At 36.8% G+C, this 19,684-nt stretch overlaps 1 protein-coding gene across 14 annotated transcripts in view; it reads left to right on the forward strand.

Moving 5' to 3' along the window:
* Positions 1–19,684, forward strand: part of SMAD1 (SMAD family member 1) — a 78,407-nt gene that overhangs the window by 56,254 nt on the left and 2,469 nt on the right. For all 14 annotated transcript variants that reach the window (XM_047415690.1, NM_001354812.1, NM_001354813.1 and 11 more), the window contains 4 exons: positions 2,781–3,038; positions 5,559–5,675; positions 9,680–9,901; positions 16,761–17,017. In XM_047415690.1, coding sequence (XP_047271646.1) covers positions 2,781–3,038; positions 5,559–5,675; positions 9,680–9,901; positions 16,761–17,017 — 854 coding nt within the window. The remainder of the gene's footprint in view (positions 1–2,780; positions 3,039–5,558; positions 5,676–9,679; positions 9,902–16,760; positions 17,018–19,684) is intronic.

A 19,684-nucleotide genomic window follows, 5' to 3' on the forward strand; every position in this document is an offset into this window, starting at 1 on the left:
TGTCAGTAGCATGAAAGCAAGAAGGAAAAAAGACGCTGAAGAACTATTCCAGATTACAGGACACTAAAGAAATATGACAACGAAGTACAATATGTGATTCTACCTTAGGTCCTGTATCAGGAAATTGCTACATAGGACATGGTTGAGACAGTTGACAGAGTTGGAATATGATTTTATATTAGATAAAATCATCAATGTTAAATTTCCCAAGTTTGATAACAAATGTGTATATGTAAGTTAATGTTCCTTTTGGGAGTTACTCTGAAATGCTATAGGGTAAAGGGACATGTATGTTACCTGCTCTCAGATAATTCAGAAGAAGTGTATTTGTGTTCTAGGGCTGGGGAATGGAGGAGAGAGAATGAGTAAGTTAATGTGGCAAGATGTTAAAAATTGGTGAATCTGGGTAAAGGGTATTTGAGTGTTCTTTGTAGTATTGCAGTTTTTCTGTAAGTTTGAAATTATTTCAAAATAAGTTAAATTTTTTAAAGTTCATAGAAGTTTTTATAACTGCCTCAAACTGGAAATAACCCAAGCATTGAGTTGGTTTTTTTTCCCCCAACCCAAGTATTTAGCAGCAGAAGATAAAATTGTATCATCAGATAAATTGTAGTTTATATATATAACAAGATGCTACACACACACAGCATTGGATGAGTCTCACATTTTGAGGAATACATATGCAGATTTTCAACTTGGGAAGCAGAAATACATTGCCCTTTGCTGTGGCTATTGCAAAGGCTAGTTCTTCCTCCCTCACTGCCCCCATCTGCAAGTAGTAGGAACAAGTAAGTCCCCAGTTCTAAAACTGTTAGGAAACAAGAGCTGCTAAAACAGATGCTCCACTAAGTGTTAGGCTGGTGCAAAGTTGCTGCAGTTTTTGCCATTAAATGCAAAAACTGAAATTATTTTTGCACCAACCTTAATGGACTCTGTGCGTGTGTGTTGTGAGAGGGAGGGGTCCTCTGAAGGATAGAGGACATGAAGGATTGCTGTCTGGTGCTGCATTTGTGGGGAGTGGTTTAGGGGCCAATGTTTCCCCCTTTTAAGGGTAAAAATCATAATTGAGACCATAGCTAGATGCCTGTAAAAGGCAAGTTGGGAAATGGTAATTCAAGTCACAGCAGCTAAAAGAAAAGGGAATGTTTGTCATTGCAAAGGTAATTGAAAGGTATTGGACTGTTTTGGAATATAAATTTTTATTGGCATTGGGGATCCCTTATCAGGAATGTTTCTTCAACAAAACAAAAGCATTTTATAGTTCAGATGACTATTGAAAGGTAGAAGAAGAATTTATGCTTTTAATGGTTTGGTTTGGGAAGATTCCATCACTGTACTAAAAAGAAAATACATTTATTATATACTCAAAAGATTTGTTCCTGAAGGATCAAATAGGGAAATAACAAATCTGATGCTATGGGATTATGTAGGAGTATAAAATATAGCACATGAGAAATTTTAATACTTTTTTAAAAACCTGTTTTTATCTAAAAAGCAATTTTCAGCTCATAAAAAAGTGATAATCCAAGTGTTAAGAGCACTTTTTACTGTAGAAATGATATAAATTATGCATAGATTCCCTGGAAAGCCCTCAAAAGTCTGCTAAATTCCTGTTGCCACCAAATATTGTTTCTTTGGGGAAATATATTCTGATTCCTAACAACCAACAATAATCATAAGTTTTAAATCTCTCCTCTCTCCTCTCATGCAGTTTATGAAACGGGCTGCTTTTCTGTTTGTAGCTGAGGCCACAGGAGCTGGAGGGATTGCAAAGACCTTTATTAGAGCATCCATCTGGTGACCCTGGCAGGGAAACTTAGGATCTAACCCTAGGATCTGGCTAGGGCTCTGTAACTGACTGTTAGCCAGCCCTGCCTCTCCAGGATAATTATATTTATAGTGGCTTTGCCTCAGGAGGTTTCTGGAGGTTGATGACCATGCCAATTATTAACTCCTTAGCTTCCTAATGTAGAACATTTAGGAGTGACAGGAGTTGTTTTCTTTGCTTCTCAACAGGTGCCTACCTATTGGGCCGCCTTTGTACCTTGAGTTTTCAGTTAGCAAAATGTGAATTGTATGAACTAATTCTTCCTTGACCTCACAGGTGGTGGTAAGGATTCTTGAAAAGTGGGTAAGATCCTTAGAAAAAAGATGTTCATAAAGTGTGACTCCTAGGACAGGATACAAGATAAATTCTGTCCCACAAAGCACCTCATATTTTGTATAATTAACTATCTTCATGGCATTTGCATTTTCTACAGTTCACTGATTTTACCTCTTCAGCTTTATTTACTATGCTGCTTTTTTGTGTTAAAGTGAATTAGTGTGTCAGCTTAAAACACTTGTGGTGAATAATTCATATCATTCAATAAGCATTAACTCTTAAATGTGAAGTCTTATCAGCCAGGGCTGTGAAATATAATTGTCAATGGTGATAAACAATTATGCTTTGGTTTTTAGTGAATGAAAAAATTAAGAATGAGGGAACCTTAACATTTTTAACCTAAAAGATTGTATTTTGCCAACTTTCCTTGGGCAATTTGTGAATACTGCAAATCTCAGGCATATGTCATCAGTGATTCTAAAGGGATTGTATTTGTTCCTGCATTTGTTCTTGAGGGTAAAATAGCTTTTCATTTGAATGATGCTTTTGAGTTGGCAGCAGGACAGGGATCAGATAATTTGTTGTTGTTTACAGATTATGTTTTACTTTATTGTGATGTAATTATAGATCATAATTCTCATGTTTGTCCTTCTCTTTTTTCCCTTCCTTTTTCTAGTACTTCCTCCTGTGCTGGTTCCAAGACACAGCGAATATAATCCTCAGCACAGCCTCTTAGCTCAGTTCCGTAACTTAGGACAAAATGAGCCTCACATGCCACTCAACGCCACTTTTCCAGATTCTTTCCAGCAACCCAACAGCCACCCGTTTCCTCACTCTCCCAATAGCAGTTACCCAAACTCTCCTGGGAGCAGCAGCAGCACCTACCCTCACTCTCCCACCAGCTCAGACCCAGGAAGCCCTTTCCAGATGCCAGGTAGGTTGGAATGTTCAGTGATGTTCTGTAGTCATATCAGACAGTGTTATCACAGTGTCACGGAAAAGCTGGGTCAACCTGCAGTGGAGGGAGGTTTTCAGCCCTGGTATATGACATAGTGCTCTCGCACTTTTAGGATACAACTTTTGGTGAAAGGAGACCTCATAGTCAAGTAAGCAAATGTCTTATTTTATTTGTCAGGCACAGATGCTTGAATAAGCTATATTTTCCCCTTGTTTTTAAAAGGTTTTGAAACAGCTGCATCCTTCTGGGAGTGGCATAATTGTTACAGTCTTTACTCTTGATAAAAAGAAAAATACCGTGTTACACACATTTGCTCTTATGAGAACACAACCTCAATCAGCATCGTTTTCATACATGGAAAAAACTCCTGTTGCAAGTGCAACCTCAGAAAAAATATTTCCTGAGGGATCCCACCCCCTACTTAATTAAATTCATTCAAATGATGATGTAATCCCAAGAAACGTATACTTTAACAACAAAGGAATTACAACAGAAGTACTGGAAACCATCTGCTTGTTCAACTTAGCAAAGACAAAAAACAATTATCCTCTTTTTCTAGACATAACTGTTGGTGTAATGGTTATCAAAATAAATGATTAATAAGGACATTATATATTTTTAAGTTACAGGTTAATGAGCAAGCATCTCCAAAAAAAAAAAAAAAAAGAGTGCCAAATTTCTTGCCAGTAGACTTTAAGAAAGATACCCTAAACAAAAATATACTTAACATCTATTAATGTTTTCGGAAGGGAAAATGACTGGGCAAGTGTGTTTATTGGGCTGCTTGAAATGTTTTTAAGTAAATTTGAATTCAACATCAGTGCTAGGCCTTCAAAAATTGAAAAGTGGTCCACATTTATATTGCTTTCTTTTATTTATGTATTTATTACCTTCTTTTATTTAAATCTTGTTTATTTCACATTGTTTTGTCCGGTTTTCAGTCCAAAGCTGTTTGGGATGAGGGTTGGGAGACAGACTAGTTTAAAAATCAAAGTAACTGGTGACTTCCTGTCTACCTCTCTCCCTTCCTCCTCACCACTAACCTGTATGATGGGCAGGTTAGTGGTGAGGAGATACATTTCAGAAGACTTTTGAGCAGTGGCAGCCCAGAGTGGCCCCAAGATTGAATTAAAGGTTATTGCTTGAATTTACACTTTGTCCCTAAATGTCAGGGATTAAGGCAAAGGCCAAGTAATGGAAATATGGAAAACAGTTGCAAGGGATGGGAGGAGGTGCCTGTAGGAATAGTAGAATAGTATCAAGAATTATCGGGTTCCTCTTGGTTGTGCTGATGCCATAGGTTGCCAATGAAATTTTCACCAGCTTCTTGGCAGAAATTCATTGACTTGGGCTCAGAGGAGGCTCTTTGTCTTTGTTCCTGGCTTGAGATAAAGCCGAGTCAGCCTTACAGCTGCAGAGAAGAGGCTGAATTAAAAGAAGCTGAAAAGGGGCAAAAGAGGCATCCAGAGAAGGTCCCAGTAGTCCCATCTCAGTACTATGAGTTGTTGCTTGTTAGCAGCTGGATGTGAAGTTACCAGGTTGTGATTCAGCTGGAGAGTGAGTCTTGGAAATCACTGGGGCTCTCTGAAGGAACAACATGAGTTGTTTGTATTTGACAGTTGCTCTGAGTGGTCTCGATTACTTATCCAAACATTCACGATTCCCTCAGGTAAAATTTTGTCTCCAAGGCTCTGACACATATGCTAGATGGGCTCATGATAGCTAGTGAGGAGCTTGCTTTTGGATGGAAAAGGATTATTTGTGAGAAACCTATACCCTTTGTTTTATATTAAGAAAATGCAAGACTTGTGTTAGTGTTCTTTGTTTAAAAAATCATGTTTGCCTCTTATTTGCCAGAAGAAACATATATGTAAATTCTGAAATAGGAGATAGCTGTGATAAACTGATTCATTTTCTGTTATTCTGTTACTAGAGATTTTAAAGCTAGTGATTATTTAAATGAGTAGGGAGAGTGTGGTCCTAACAGATTCCCTAAAGTCATGGAAAATTAACAGTTCAAATCAGTAGGCTATAATGAAACTTGGTGAATTTTCTAAAAGCCCATAGATTTAATGCAAAAGACCCTGAAGCTCCTTTTCTTAAGAAGTCCAGTGAAGCTTTCAGAGGTTTTCCATCTATCAGTGAAACTGAAATGCAGAGGTCCTCTCAAAGCAGATTATATTAAAGTGTGCTTAAAATACTCTTCTGATTGCTTTTAAACAGCATGATCCTGCATAGGCAAACAGCTTCTGGAACTGGCATATAGTATAATTCTTTTCCTCCCACTGAATTTTCACAAAAATGTATATGATTGTGGCATGGTTAATACTTTTCAGAAATTGTACATCAAGGCAGTGCCTGTAGCCTTTAGTCTTTTAATGGGGAGATTGAAATGACAACTTGATCTCTTGAGAATTTCAGTACAGAAGAGGATACGTGTTTTGAGCATGTATGTTTACTAAGGGTTAAGAAATAACTTCTTTAAAAACTTTGTAGCTGATACGCCCCCACCTGCTTACCTGCCTCCTGAAGACCCCATGACCCAGGATGGCTCTCAGCCGATGGACACAAACATGATGGCGCCTCCCCTGCCCTCAGAAATCAACAGAGGAGGTAAAACTAATTGCTGCCTGTTCCCTTTTTTAGAGTCTAAAGTTTGTCCAGATGTTACTTTCTCTCACAAATTTTTATTAGTCTTTAAAAAGAGAGCTACTTGAGAAAAATAGAGTCCAATGTTAAGAGAAGCTCACTACAATTGCTGGATAACAAGTAAGTCTTTAATTTAAAGAACAAATACACTGACTTAACTAATGAAGATCTGAGAATAATTTTGCAGTTATCTGTTTAGATCTTTAATACTTAATAATTTTTAACTGATGATGAAAATTTTTTTTTTGTTTTTTTTTGAGACGGAGTTTTGCTCTGGTCACCCAGGCTGGAGCACGATCTTGGTTCACTGCAACCTCCACCTCCCAGGTTCAAGTGATTCTCCTGCCTCAGCCTCCTGAGTAGCTGGGATTACAGGTGCACACCATCACGCCCGACTAATTTTTGTATTTTTAGTAGAGACAGGGTTTCACCATGTTGGCCAGGCTGGTCACGAATTCCTGACCTCAGGTGATCCGCCCACCTTGGCCTCCCAAAGTGCTGGGATTACAGGCGTGAGCCACTGTACCCAGCCAAAAAGAGTATTTTTAAATGAACAAAATGGTATTTAGAAACAATAAGTATAACAGTACTGAAGTAGAGTTTTCACTGGTGATTTCCAAAGTTGGAAGTTGGTATAACTGGGCTGTCCAAAGGCTTTCTTCTGTAATTAGGATAGATACACATAAACCCCGTCTGTTTTTCAGCTCTTATGTATGTGCAACTACAACTGGAACAAACTAATAGAATTTCTTGCTATTTGTTTCTAACTTTGTTACTAAAAGGAATTGAGGCACAAGTTTTTCCCCTTCTCAGCCTGAAGAACTTGCAAGCAGAAATGAAAAATTTCTTTCCCCCTTTAGTAAAGGGTGGGTCTTTGATTCCAGCGCTGTATATATCCTTAGCAGTGACCGAGTGGAGGATGCCATCATTCTTCCAGCTCTACATAGGCAAGTAGGATAGACTTAAGTGAGCAGAGAACTCAGGTAAATAAGTTCGGTAGACTCTCTGAGAAATCTGTTAGAATCCACAGCCACCCTGGCAAATAAAACTGCTCCTAAATAACCTCTCATGAAAGAAAGTGCTTTGCTGCTGCACTCAACACATGGCATGGGTCATGCAATTTATATAATGTTTATGCAAATTGAAGTTAAAGTACAGTTTGGTTACTAGGTATGTCTTGTTTCATTTTAGTGCTTTTTTATTAAAATAGGAGATACTTATTAAAATAGGAGTTGCTTATATTTTTAAGTACTTAAAATTGATTTTGTCTCTATGACACATTATACAGTGGTAACTGCATGTCATTATACATTTATCCAAACCCATAGGATGTACACCATAAGTGAACCCTGACGCAAACCGTAGACTTTGGTTGTAGGTCTGTAGGATGAATGTCGGTTCATCAGTTAAAACAAATGTGCCACTCTGGTGGGGGATATTAATAATGAGGGAGGCTAGGAAGGTGTGGGGGTGGGGGGCATATGGAAAATCACTCTGTCTTATACTCAGTTTTGCTGTGAACCTAAAACTGCTTTAAACATCGATTTAAAAACTGGTGATGAAGGCTGGGCGCGGTGGCTCACGCCTGTAATCCCTAGCACTTTGGGAGGCCGAGGCAGGTGGATCACCTGAGGTCAGGAGTTCAAGACCAGCCTGCCTAACATGGTGAAACCCTGTCTCTACTGCAGATGCAAAAATTAGCTGGGTGTGGTGGCGGGCCCCTGTTGTCCGAGCTACTTGGGAGGCTGAGGCAGGAGAATCACTTGAACCCAGGAGGCAGAGGTTGCAGTGAACTGAGATCACACCATTGCACTCCAGCCTGGGCAACAAGAGCAAAACTCAGTCTCAAAAAAAAAAAAGAAAAAAAAAATTGGTGATAAACTCAAAGGACCTTTCTTGGATGTGCAGTGTCATAAATTGGAATGTACACCACTTTAATCATTATGATTTTTTAAATCTTTTTTATTGCCTCTGTATTTTATGGTTCCTGATTATCTCTTGAACATCTTATCAAACATAATTCTGAGTCAATGAACACTCTGGTTGGGGGAAATAACCCCTATCTCACACATCTGTGGAATTTATATTTGGGGACCAGGATACCAGGAGAGAATAGGCACAGTACCACACTATTAGGAGCATGTGGACCCAGTAACTATTATTACTAAACCCAAAATGTCTGATTTCAGGAAACAGATCTTTAAATTGCTTTAAGATTTTTTTCATTTAAATAGCTTTAATTTTTTTTTCCTTTATAGTTTATAGTCAGTTAATATTTTCACGAGGAAGGAATGTTGGCCATTTTTTTTCTTCCCCCCGCTTTTTTTTTAACTTGTTTTTAACCTTTGGTGATTTTCCTAGAGCAGGGGTGAACAAACTACAGCCCACAGGCCAATTCAGCCTGCTATCTGTTTTTGTAAATAAAGCATTATTGGACCACAGCTGTATTCATTCATTACATATTGTCTATGACTGCTTCTGTGTTACAAGGGCAGAATTGGATAGTTGTGATAAAGATTATACAGCCCATAAAATCTTGCTGGCCTTTCACAGAAAAAATTCATCAACCTCTGACCTAGATGAATAGTATTTTGAAGTATCCTGATAGCTGATAAAAGCCTTCTGCTAATAATGTTGCAGTCTGCTTTAAGATTTGGCACTTGTAAATCACTAAAGTTTTGCTCTTTGAATTATAGCAAATTGATGTGGTAGAGTTGCTTAGCAAGCAGGGAAGATAGTGTATGTTTTTAGCTAACTACTTACATATGTAAAGCGACTAACTTATGTGTGGGTTTTTTCATGAGTATTTTCCTTGTTTTTTTTTTGTGTGTGTGTGTGTGTGTGTTTGTTATTGTTGTTTTGTTTTTTACCAAATTCTAAAGTAAAGTGCATTTTAGTATTTGTGGAATTTGATGTTAAGAACACAGAGGTGCTTCTCCCTTAGCAGTTGTAGTCTGGGCTTCTGATGTGGACTTTCTTTCTTTTCCTCCTTTTATTATTGTACACCCAAGACTTCATAAACCTCAGATCATTATATATTGGTATGCTGGAAATATATGGTTTGTATTCCTGGAATCTCTAAAGGAGTGGTACAAGAGGTTTTACTACAGAAGGAATTCATCTTTAAAACCTTTTAGTTGCAAATGTTTAGAACCATGTTCTGTTTGGAGATTTGTTAGTCTTAAGAGATTTGACTTAACAAGCTGCATCCTGTCAGTAAAGTTGGGTAATTTCCATTGTTGGCCCATTCTGGGAATGGAGAGACAAAACACACCTGCTCTGCATGACTTAAAGCAAATATAAGGAAGTTAGCATGAAATCTGGATGAGAAAGATATGATTCATTCTGTAAGAATGGCCAGCTGGCAAGATTTCTTCCTGAGTTTGAGAACTGGAGCAACACTGTAGCTGTGATAGTTATTGGCAACTTAATATGAGGTAAAGTAACTTCTTATCAATAATTAGAAACTGATTTTCATGGCTTTGAATAAGCATAGGCATACTTAGTCTTTGCCAAAAGTAATTCATTTTTATGCCAGTACCTTTGGCATATTTTCAGTCTTCTATTGTTCTCTTCCCACTTATTTTTTCACTTGTCACTTGTGTTTCTTTAGATGGTGAGCCAAAGTCTGTGGTAGGGGTGATTTCCATTTCTGCATATTACAGAGCAATTAGCATATTGTTAATATTCAGCAAAAGTTTTTGCTGTGCTTCCTTAGCTGGTGTTTTGGTTATCTGATAGTAATTGGAGAAAATTGTTCTCCAATTTTCTCCAATTAGGAGAATAAGGAGAGTGTCATATTAAGAAGTACCTGCTTTAAACATCATAGAAAAACTGTATACATTATAATAGCAATTGCTTTTCCAGTGTCTTCATTCCATGATCCTGAGCCAATTCAACAACACGGTTTCAGTTTTTGAGAGCCTGAGGCACTAACCTTGGTTGATATAACATTTTCTTTCCTCTAGATGTTCAGGCGGTTGCTTATGAGGAACCAAAACACTGGTGCTCTATTGTCTACTATGAGCTCAACAATCGTGTGGGTGAAGCGTTCCATGCCTCCTCCACAAGTGTGTTGGTGGATGGTTTCACTGATCCTTCCAACAATAAGAACCGTTTCTGCCTTGGGCTGCTCTCCAATGTTAACCGGAATTCCACTATTGAAAACACCAGGCGGCATATTGGAAAAGGTGAGTTTTTGCTTTAACCTCTTTCAGATGTTTATCTGTTGTGTCCCTGTTCCTCCAGAGCTGACTTAAAATCATTCCTGTAACAAACTGTTGTAGCAAAGACCAGGTAATGTTCACTTGCTGCAGTTTGTAAATATTTTTCCAGTTTCTGCTATCTGGAAGCTCTTGCAGTCAGTGATTTTTGTGGTCGATCAACTCATAATATTGAAATTAATTAGTTGAAATTATGATTTGCCATTTTAAGACACTATTCTGTATGATATTTTGCTGCAGAATAAATTGGCTGTTATAAAATGAATCACAACCTAAAATTAAAAGCAAATTACAGTTAATTGCTTAATTGTATTTCAAATGAATACCATAACTCAGTAAATAGAAAAGAAAGAACTAGATTTTAGCACAAACATCGTGCAAGGTGGCACGATAGAACCCTGCAGTGATTGTACCCCCACAGGGACACCAAATTGAACAACTGTCCATATAAGACAGCACCTTCAAAAGAACAAAAAATCAGGCATGGATATATTTATAATAAGAAAAAATAAAGACCAAAAAACAAGCCTAGTAAGTTATGAATATAGTAAGTGACTATATATCCTCAGCCTAGGCTGAGTGGAGTAGATAGAGTAGGGGTAGGATTTCAAATAAATCCCGAACTCTTTTTAGTAAACTTGATTATTTCATAGCAGTATGAGTGAAACCATTCTGAAACTTTCATATGTAAAGATGAAGCAAATGACTAAATGTGTGGATATTGTTGGGAGCTTGGGTTTCCACTGTGGAAAACAGACATATAAATGCGGAGGGGAGCAAAAAGTAAACCCTGTGAAGGAGAATAGAAGTATCAGTGCAAAATTCTGATTTTAGTAATACATATGTGTATGTATGTATGCATGTTTATGTTCTCATGTATTACGTATGTGTGTATGCATGGGTATGTATATGCGTTTTTACTTGCGTATAGTTTCTGATCTGCCTGCTGAAAGGGCCCAGAAGCATACATACCCAGTAGCAATAAGCACATCTAGTGTTCAGATCATCATCGCTAATACCATGTCCCACTAAAAGGAACTAGGGCTCCTTGAAGAAATGGCTTACCCCTAGGCTGGGATAGGTAGGCATAGGAGGACCCTGGAGCATCTTGTTGTGGCAGAAAGTAAAGAAGTGCTTATGGAACTCATGGGGCATGCCTCAGGAGCCAACTTAGAGGGCCTTCCACTGGCCAACTCTCAGACAATTTGAGCTCCAAAATAATTACAGTGATGAATTTTACTTCATTTTATTTATTTATTTATTTATTTATTTATATTTTATTTTTTTTTGAGACGGAGTCTCCCTGTGTCACCCAGGCTGGAGTCCAGTGGTGTAATCTTGGCTCACTGCAACCTCCACCTCCCAGGTTCAAGTGATTCTTGTGCCTCAGCCTCCTCAGTAGCTGGGAGGTTACAGGTGTGCACCACCACACTCGGCTAATTTTTGTATATTTAGTACAGTCTGAGTTTTACCTTGTTGGCTAGGCTGGTCTCGAACTAACCTCAAACGATCAGCCTGCCTTGGCCTCCCAAAATTCTGGAATTACAGGTGTGTGAGCCACTGTGCCTGGCCTCAGTACGGTATTGAATTTTACACCATTGAAAAACAATACAAATTTATAAGTCCATACTCATAATAAATAGATAGATAAGTGAATGGGGAAGGCTGGTTGATAAATGTAGAGTCAGTGCTAAAGTTTGAATATCATTTTGCAACCATCATAGTAAGGATCAGGCAAGAATCATCAATGGATGCTAAATATAAAGAAAATGTTTATGAGAATCAGTTTATTTGCATGGTCTTAAGAGTGTTTACCCTCAAACTGCCTGTTAGTACAAGGGAGAATAAAAAGCATTAACTAAACAGTGGAGAAACCGTATCATTTGTATTTTAATTGTAATTGTATAATTGATGCCCTGTTTTGACTGGGAGATCAAAATTATCATCACCAATGAGAGACAGATGGGTATCATATACCTCCAGATGTCATACCCTGAGAAGGCCATAACATCACCTACGCAGGATTCCAGCTGAGAATGCAAATCCGAATCTAATCCTGAGGAAATATCAGACAGACTCAAAGCAAGAAACATTCTATTAAAAAGGGTGAAGAAGGGGGAGTAATTCTTTCAAAATATCAATGTGAAAAGACAAAGGTATGGAAATGTTCCAGATTAAAAGCAGTTAAAGAGATATGACACCTGCATGCAATATCTGACCCTGGACATGATCCTGTGCTGAACAGGAGAAAAAATATTAATACTGTAAGGGACATTATTGAGATCAGCAGGCAAAACTGGAATATGAATGGTAGATTAGACCAATGTTAAATGTATTAGCATTGCCAACTATACTATGGCTATATAAGAGACTATCCCTATTCTTAGGAAATACTTAAGTATTTAAGGAAGTGGTTCAGGAAGAAATTAGTGTATAAAGATACCTGTCTACTCACCATCTGTCTATCCAAAACCTGTGTTACAATACATACATACAGACAGACACACACATGCACGGTGCGTGTGCAGCAGCAGTGGGGAAGGAGAGCCCAAGTGATCAAGCAAATGGAGTAAATTGTCACAATAGATGCATCTGGATAATGGTTATATGGGTGTTCTTTGTTCTGTTTTTCTTTGTTCCCTTTCAAACTTTTCTACAAATTTGAAATTATTTCCAGAGTAAAAGTATGAAACAGTGACCTACTATGAAATTTAGAACAGTGGACCAGATTAAAAGGTTATTTATTAGATGCTTTAAAAGCACTCAAGATAAAGTGTAACATTTAATCCTGAGGGGAAGAAAACTCCAACTCTTAAATTAGGAATTGATAGATATTCTCTTATATAATTAAAGGAAAAAACTCTTGACTGTAAATTTAATAATGAAATGCTAGAACCTAGGTTCATAACATACATAGATATCTTTCTGTGGTCTGTAAACCTCTGAAATTGTATGTAAACACAATTTTGCATACATTTGGGAGGGAAAGACATACTTTTCGTTAAACTCTAAAGATGACTCTTATCCCAAAGTAGCAAAGAAAAATTGTGCTATGGGACATTTCCTCCTAAAACATTATTAAGAAAATAAAGAATCTTGGAATGCTGTTATTTAAAATTGTTCCAGATGCCCTTAGTAGTGTACTCAAATATACAATTATAGATAATGGAAATAAGGCAAGATGATCATTATGTGTAGATGATATGTTTGATTGACAGTATTCTCGGGATAGATTCTTGAAGTGAAATTAGTATATCAAAATCCATTGATATATTTCACCAAATTACTTTCCAAAAAGTAATTCCAGTGCTTTGGGAGGCTAAGGCAGGTGGATCAGTTGAGGTCAGGAGTTCGAGACCAGCCTGGGCAACATGGTGGAACCCGGGTCTCTACTAAAAATTAGAAATTAGCCAGGTGTGGTGGCACACGCCTGTAATCCCAGCTACTCGGGAGACAGAGGCAAAGTTATCACTTGAATTTGAGAGGCGGAGGTTGCAATGAGCTGAGATCAAGCCACTGCTCTCCAGCCTGGGTGACAGAGAGAGACTCTGTCTTGAAATAAATTAATTAATTAATTAAAACAAAAGAGATAAATAAATACAGACATACATAAAATGAATTTGCACTCCTACCAGAAATATATGAGTGCCTTTCTCCCTTCATCCATGCCAGTATTATAGTTGGGCATTGTGCCTATTCAAATGATATGATTATTTATCTAGAAACCTCCAAAGAATCTATCTTTTAAAAATTATGTAAGTCAGTTTCCTTTAATCTGGTAATAACCAGTTAGAAATATAATGAAAGGGGAAATATCCCCTTCCCAATAGCCACAGAAAACATCAGTTTCTTGGAAATAATCTGAACCTGCAATATGTGAGAATTACATGAAGAAACCAAATTTTACTGAGAGAAAGAAAATTTGAATAAATAGGCAGTCTGTGTTCCTTAAAGGGAAGGCTTAATATTGTGAGAACATTTTAAGCATATTAATTCCATCTAATTTAATTTATAATTTAAAACAACTCTTTTCAGAATCACAATGTGATTTTTTTGAAAATTGGAAAATGTATTCTGAATATTCTGAATATTACCTGGAAGGATAAACAAGTGAGGCTAGCTAACTTTGTAAATGGAAAAGTAAAGAAAAAATTATCGGCATTAGGGTTAATAAAACATTGTAAAACTACAAGTAAACCAGTGTGTAGACAAAACAGAATGAGTTAAACTCAGACTATACTGTTATAAAAATATAATGTATGTTAAATGAAGCATAGCAAATCAGTAGAGTCTTCTAATGGTTCTACAATAACCAAGTTAGCGTTTGGGTGAGGCTGGGAAAGAGAAACCCTGACCTCATACCATATATGCAAACAGATTAATGAGTTGAATGTTTTTCAAGAGTCAAACAATTAAAAAGCTAGAAGAAAATATGCTTGATCAGAGAGGTGGAAATTTTTTAAGCATAAAAAGCAACAAAAGACCATAAGAGGTTTAACTAAGAGATTGCAAACTTCTGTAGGTTAAAAATATGTCACAAATAAAATTAAAAGACAAAGGACTAACAGGGAAGCAAATAAGAAAGTATATCCTTCTTACATGAACAGTTCATTAAAAAATAAAACAAATAGGACCCCAGTGAGATAAATAGGTAAGAAATGTGAACAGTGAATTCACAAGAGAAACGCAGATGGCTAATAAACTACGAGAGCATATCCAGCCTCACAGGCAAATTAAACAATTATTTGTCAACTATAAATTAGGGACGTTTTGTTTTTGCTCTACACTCAAATTCAGTACTGGCATGGGTGAAATGAGAAAAGCATTCCTACACTGCTGGTGACAGTGTAAATTGATGCATTCTGGAAAGTCATTTGGCAGAGTTAATCAGCAGCCTTCGATCCAGTAATTTAACTTCCAGGAATCTCTCCTAAGGATATTATCAAAAATTGTCCAGAGACATTTATCATGGCATTAACTATAAAAGCAGAACATTGCTGTCATCCCAGTGGTCCACTAATGGGAAAATCATTTAAAAAACATTCATACAATCATGGAGATATTTTAAATGTTTGCAAAGACATTTTAATGATACCCAAAACTGAATACAGTGTATCAAACTATTAATAATTATTGCCTCTGAGTCACTAAAAGAGTGATAATATTTTCTGCTTCTTTATATTTTGATTTACTTTCTGATTTTTCAGGATGAAAATTTGTCATTTTTATCATCAGGAAAAATTAGTAGCACACACACTCTTAAATTGTTTTCTCTATATCAGGCCAAAAAAATGGCCTTCTGCTCTAGCAGCTATTTAATTATTACAGAAATCCTAACCGCTGTGTATACATATAAACAAAACTTGTAATGTTTTCTGTGAGACACAATATAGCCTTGACTAAGCCATACCAGAGTTACCTACAAGGTGGATCATTTAAACCCACATGGGATCTAACGCTGCTGGGTGACCTGTATAAAGTCATCTTCCATAATGGTGTGGGGCTTTGTGAGAATGGGTTTTTTTACCCCTACTTTCCTTTTTTTAAAGGCAGGGTAGGCCCAATTTCCTACACTTTAAGCACTCTGGGTCTCACAGGAAGAAGTTTGGAGCAGGTGATAGTTCAGTGAGATCTAATTTTACACACACAGTATGACTTTTCTAGTTTCATTTTCATGTTTTTTTACTGGATCTTATATCTTACAGCTTTCGGCAATACTTCTTCCACCTGTGGCTTTCCAGTTCCTCTCTTCTCTTTCTCCTTTCTTCCCTTTCTAAAATTTTCCAAACATCTTAGCTGTACAATAAATGCAAGAGCGCTTTATAGTAAATACATAGCATCCAGGTTTTATTATGCTATCTTTTTAGAGTGAAAATATACTTTCAATGTGTGGCCAAATAGGACATTAATCACTTACCAAAATGAAATTGCTACATGTTGTTGTTGTTGTTGTTGTTGTTGTTATTTGAGATGGTCTCACTCTGTCACCCAGTCTGGAGTGCAGTGGCTCAATCACAGCTCACTGCAGCCTCAACCTCCTTGCCTCAAGCAATCCTGCCACCTCAGCCTCTGTGTAACTGGGACTACAGGTGTGCACCCCTATGCCTGGCTAATTTTTTGTATTTTTTTTTTTTTTTGTGGAGATGGGGTTTCACCGTGCTGCCCAGGCTGGTCTTGAACTGAGCTCAAGCAACCTGTCCACCATGGCTTCCCAAAGTGCTGAGATTACAGGCGTGAACAACTGTGCCTGGCCTATTACTATTTTTAAAACATTTTGTTATGTTATTTTCTAGAAACCTCCTAGATACTGTATTAAGTAATGCGGTTAACTAAGATTTTTATCAGTCATACATCAGCCATCCCCAGTCTTTTTGGCACCAGGGACCAGTTTCATGGAAGACAATTTTTCCACAGGGGATGGGAAAGGGATAGTTTCAGGATGAAACTGTTCCACTTCAGATCATCAGGCATTAGATTCTCATAAGGAGCACGCAACCTTGATCCCTCCCATGCACAGTTCACCATAGGGTTCATGCTTCTATGAGAATCTAATGCTGCCGCTGATCTAACAGGAGGTGGAGCTCAGGCTGTAATGCTTGCTCACTCACCTCCTGCTATGTGGCCTGGTTTCTAACAGGCCACGGACTGATACTGGTCCATGGCCCCGGGGGTTGGGAACTCCTGTTGTACAGGACCTAGAGAATAGCTAGCTAACTAGCCAAAGTTTAAATCCATGTATATTTAAGTTTCTGTGTTGAAGCTGCACAGGTGCCTTTGAGCTGTAAAAATTAATAATAACTAAATGGTATGCTTTGTCTTCCTATAGGAGTTCATCTTTATTATGTTGGAGGGGAGGTGTATGCCGAATGCCTTAGTGACAGTAGCATCTTTGTGCAAAGTCGGAACTGCAACTACCATCATGGATTTCATCCTACTACTGTTTGCAAGATCCCTAGTGGGTGTAGTCTGAAAATTTTTAACAACCAAGAATTTGCTCAGTTATTGGCACAGTCTGTGAACCATGGATTTGAGACAGTCTATGAGCTTACAAAAATGTGTACTATACGTATGAGCTTTGTGAAGGTAAGTGAGCTCCGACTCCTCCATTTAGGGCCTAACATACTTTTGCTGTGCTTTTTTTTTTTTTTTTTGGCGATATATGAATCTATATCCTCTTGATAACATATTATCATATTAGCTGACTTATTATCTAGGCATTTTTAAACTTTAACAAAAATTTCAATTATTAGGAAAATATCATTGGAACATAGGAGTACTTGTATTAAATATCAATAGCAGTAGGTTTTACTAGCCTTTTCCTTATTCAGATAGCACCGCTTTAGCTATTGTATTACCAGTAGAATATGTTATGTTATATATTTAACATATAATTTAAATACATGGTTGTTTTACGAGATCAGTTGAGTAAGCATATCTTCCTTCCTTTTCATTCTTTGTTTTTTGTACTTTTATGATGGTAATGCTTGTTTTTGTTTCAACAGTAAGCAAGTGATCTTTTTGTAAAAATTAAAGTTCATCACATTGGAAATTGTGTTTGGTCAGGTTTTTTTTAGTGGTTTCAGTAAGCTTCATGATTTTCTTACAATTCAGAAGTTAATAAGGCCCTTGCCCAAGATAAATAGATGCCTTAGCTCAAAGATTGCATTGTAAGGTTTGATGAGGGAAGAGGTTAAAGACATTGCTCATAATAATTGATCTTTTTGCTGTCTCATGTTCTGCCTCTGAGAAATAAAAATTTTTAAGATGCCATTGAAATCTTAAAAACCTTAAATGTCTGATTAGATTTCTGAGTCAGTGACTTTTCTAGTAACTGACCTGTCTCTGAATTCTCAAAAATAAATTTCATTCTCTCGTACTTTGAGAAACAGAACTAATTATATGTTTGAGTGAGGCAATTATCTTTTATGTCTTCTCTTCAGAAGCTCACCAAACTTGTTGTTAAACCTGTTTTGTAATGTATTTATTACTGAGGATAATTTTGGAGCCTTACTTGTTAATCATCCCTTAGATCAAAGATATCTTTTCCTGAATATAGTTACTTTTCCTACTTATTTAAAGCATCTTAGATTTTCAGTGTGTTCCCTTAGTGTTTGTTTTTGTGTGTTTGTTTGTTTGTTTGCTTGTTTGCTTTTTGCAGTATACTTCAACAGTTATTTGTAGTTGAGTCTGGTACCTTGTTAGTATTAAGAAAATTTTTTTACCCTTTAAAGAGGTTAACCTATATGTTATGTACATATGGGACTACAAAGAACTATCTTATTCATTGTTAACATGTGCTGTTTAATTTTTGACTTAGCATTTGGCTCAAATGATTTTTAAAATAAGAACAGTGACCTGCCAGAAGTGTTTTTGTTTATTGTTTTAATTGGTATGGAGGAAAGAACAGCTCTTGAGAGTCGAGATGCGGTTTCCAGTTTTTTCTGCCATTTTAACTGTGTGATTAAGGCACAGATTTCTTCTCTGGTTCTCAGGTTTATCGTCTTTGAAATGGGGGTGGATGGAGTTGAGAACTGTGGTAATTATTACTGAGGTCCCTCAGTGAGTCTGTTATTGAAGGACCACTCTAAGAGAATTTATTACTTTAATGTTCCAATTAGCTTTCTGCTCAAACTCATTTCTTATTGTTTACCCAATCAATTTTAATTATTTTACTTTTGTAGAGTTTTAATAATTTACTTTTACACAAGTAAAAACAACCTTTACACTAATAAAAGGTATTTATAATGCAAAGTTATGCATTCAAAATTTATTAGATTTCATTCATTCAGCAGATATTTTAGCACTATTTCAGAGAAGTAATACAAAGATGAAAAAGCACCTAAAGTCTCTTATCATCAAGATCCTTATGCCCTAGTATATCTTTAATTATAATCTGATAAGCACTAGAATGGAGAGTTATACAAGATATAATGAACTTAGCCTGGAAGTTGGATTTGGAGAGCTGAAGGTAAATATTATTTAAAAATCCTGCTGAATGTTAAAGAAAAGTTGTTTATCATATGTTAGCAACAAAAAATTTGCACACTGTTTTTACAAAACTGTTCTTTATTATAAGGACTGCATACTTTGTCCTCTCCCATTCAACATTTTAAAGAAATTAGAACATTTTACTAACAATAGCCAATCTTGTGCTGTTTTTAAAATGATCATTTTTGGATATTAACATAAAACACATTTTATAAATTATTTGTACTTTAAATTCTATGTCTGAAAATTCCAAGTCAGCTCAGCTGAACACATATTTATAGAGCTTCTGCTTTCTGTCATTATGCTGTATATTGGAGGTAAAGATAAATTCCTGCCTTCAAAGATCTTGCTATCTGATGGAGGAAACCTGCACATAAGCCTGTAAATTAATTTTAGGAGTTTGTTTATATTTACAAATGCATGAGTGTACATACATCTATGTAGATATATATATATCTACATAGATGTAGTTCATACAAGTTCTGATGTTCAGATATATTTTCTTTTTTCTTCTTTTTTTTCTTTTTTCTTAAGACAGTCTCGCTCTGTCGCCCAGGCTGGAGTGCAATGGTGTGATCTCGGCTCACTGCAACCTCTGCCTCCCAGCTTCAAGCAATTCTCCTGCCTCAGCCTCCCAAGCATGCTGGGATTACAGGCGTGTGGCCACCGCACCCAGCTAATTTCTATATTTTTAGTAGAGACAGAGTTTTGCCATGTTGTCCAGGCTGATCTCAAACTCCTGACCCCAAGTGATCACCTGCC

The sequence above is a fragment of the Homo sapiens genome, chromosome 4, assembly GCF_000001405.40.
Source record: "Homo sapiens chromosome 4, GRCh38.p14 Primary Assembly".
Lineage (NCBI taxonomy): Eukaryota > Metazoa > Chordata > Mammalia > Primates > Hominidae > Homo > Homo sapiens.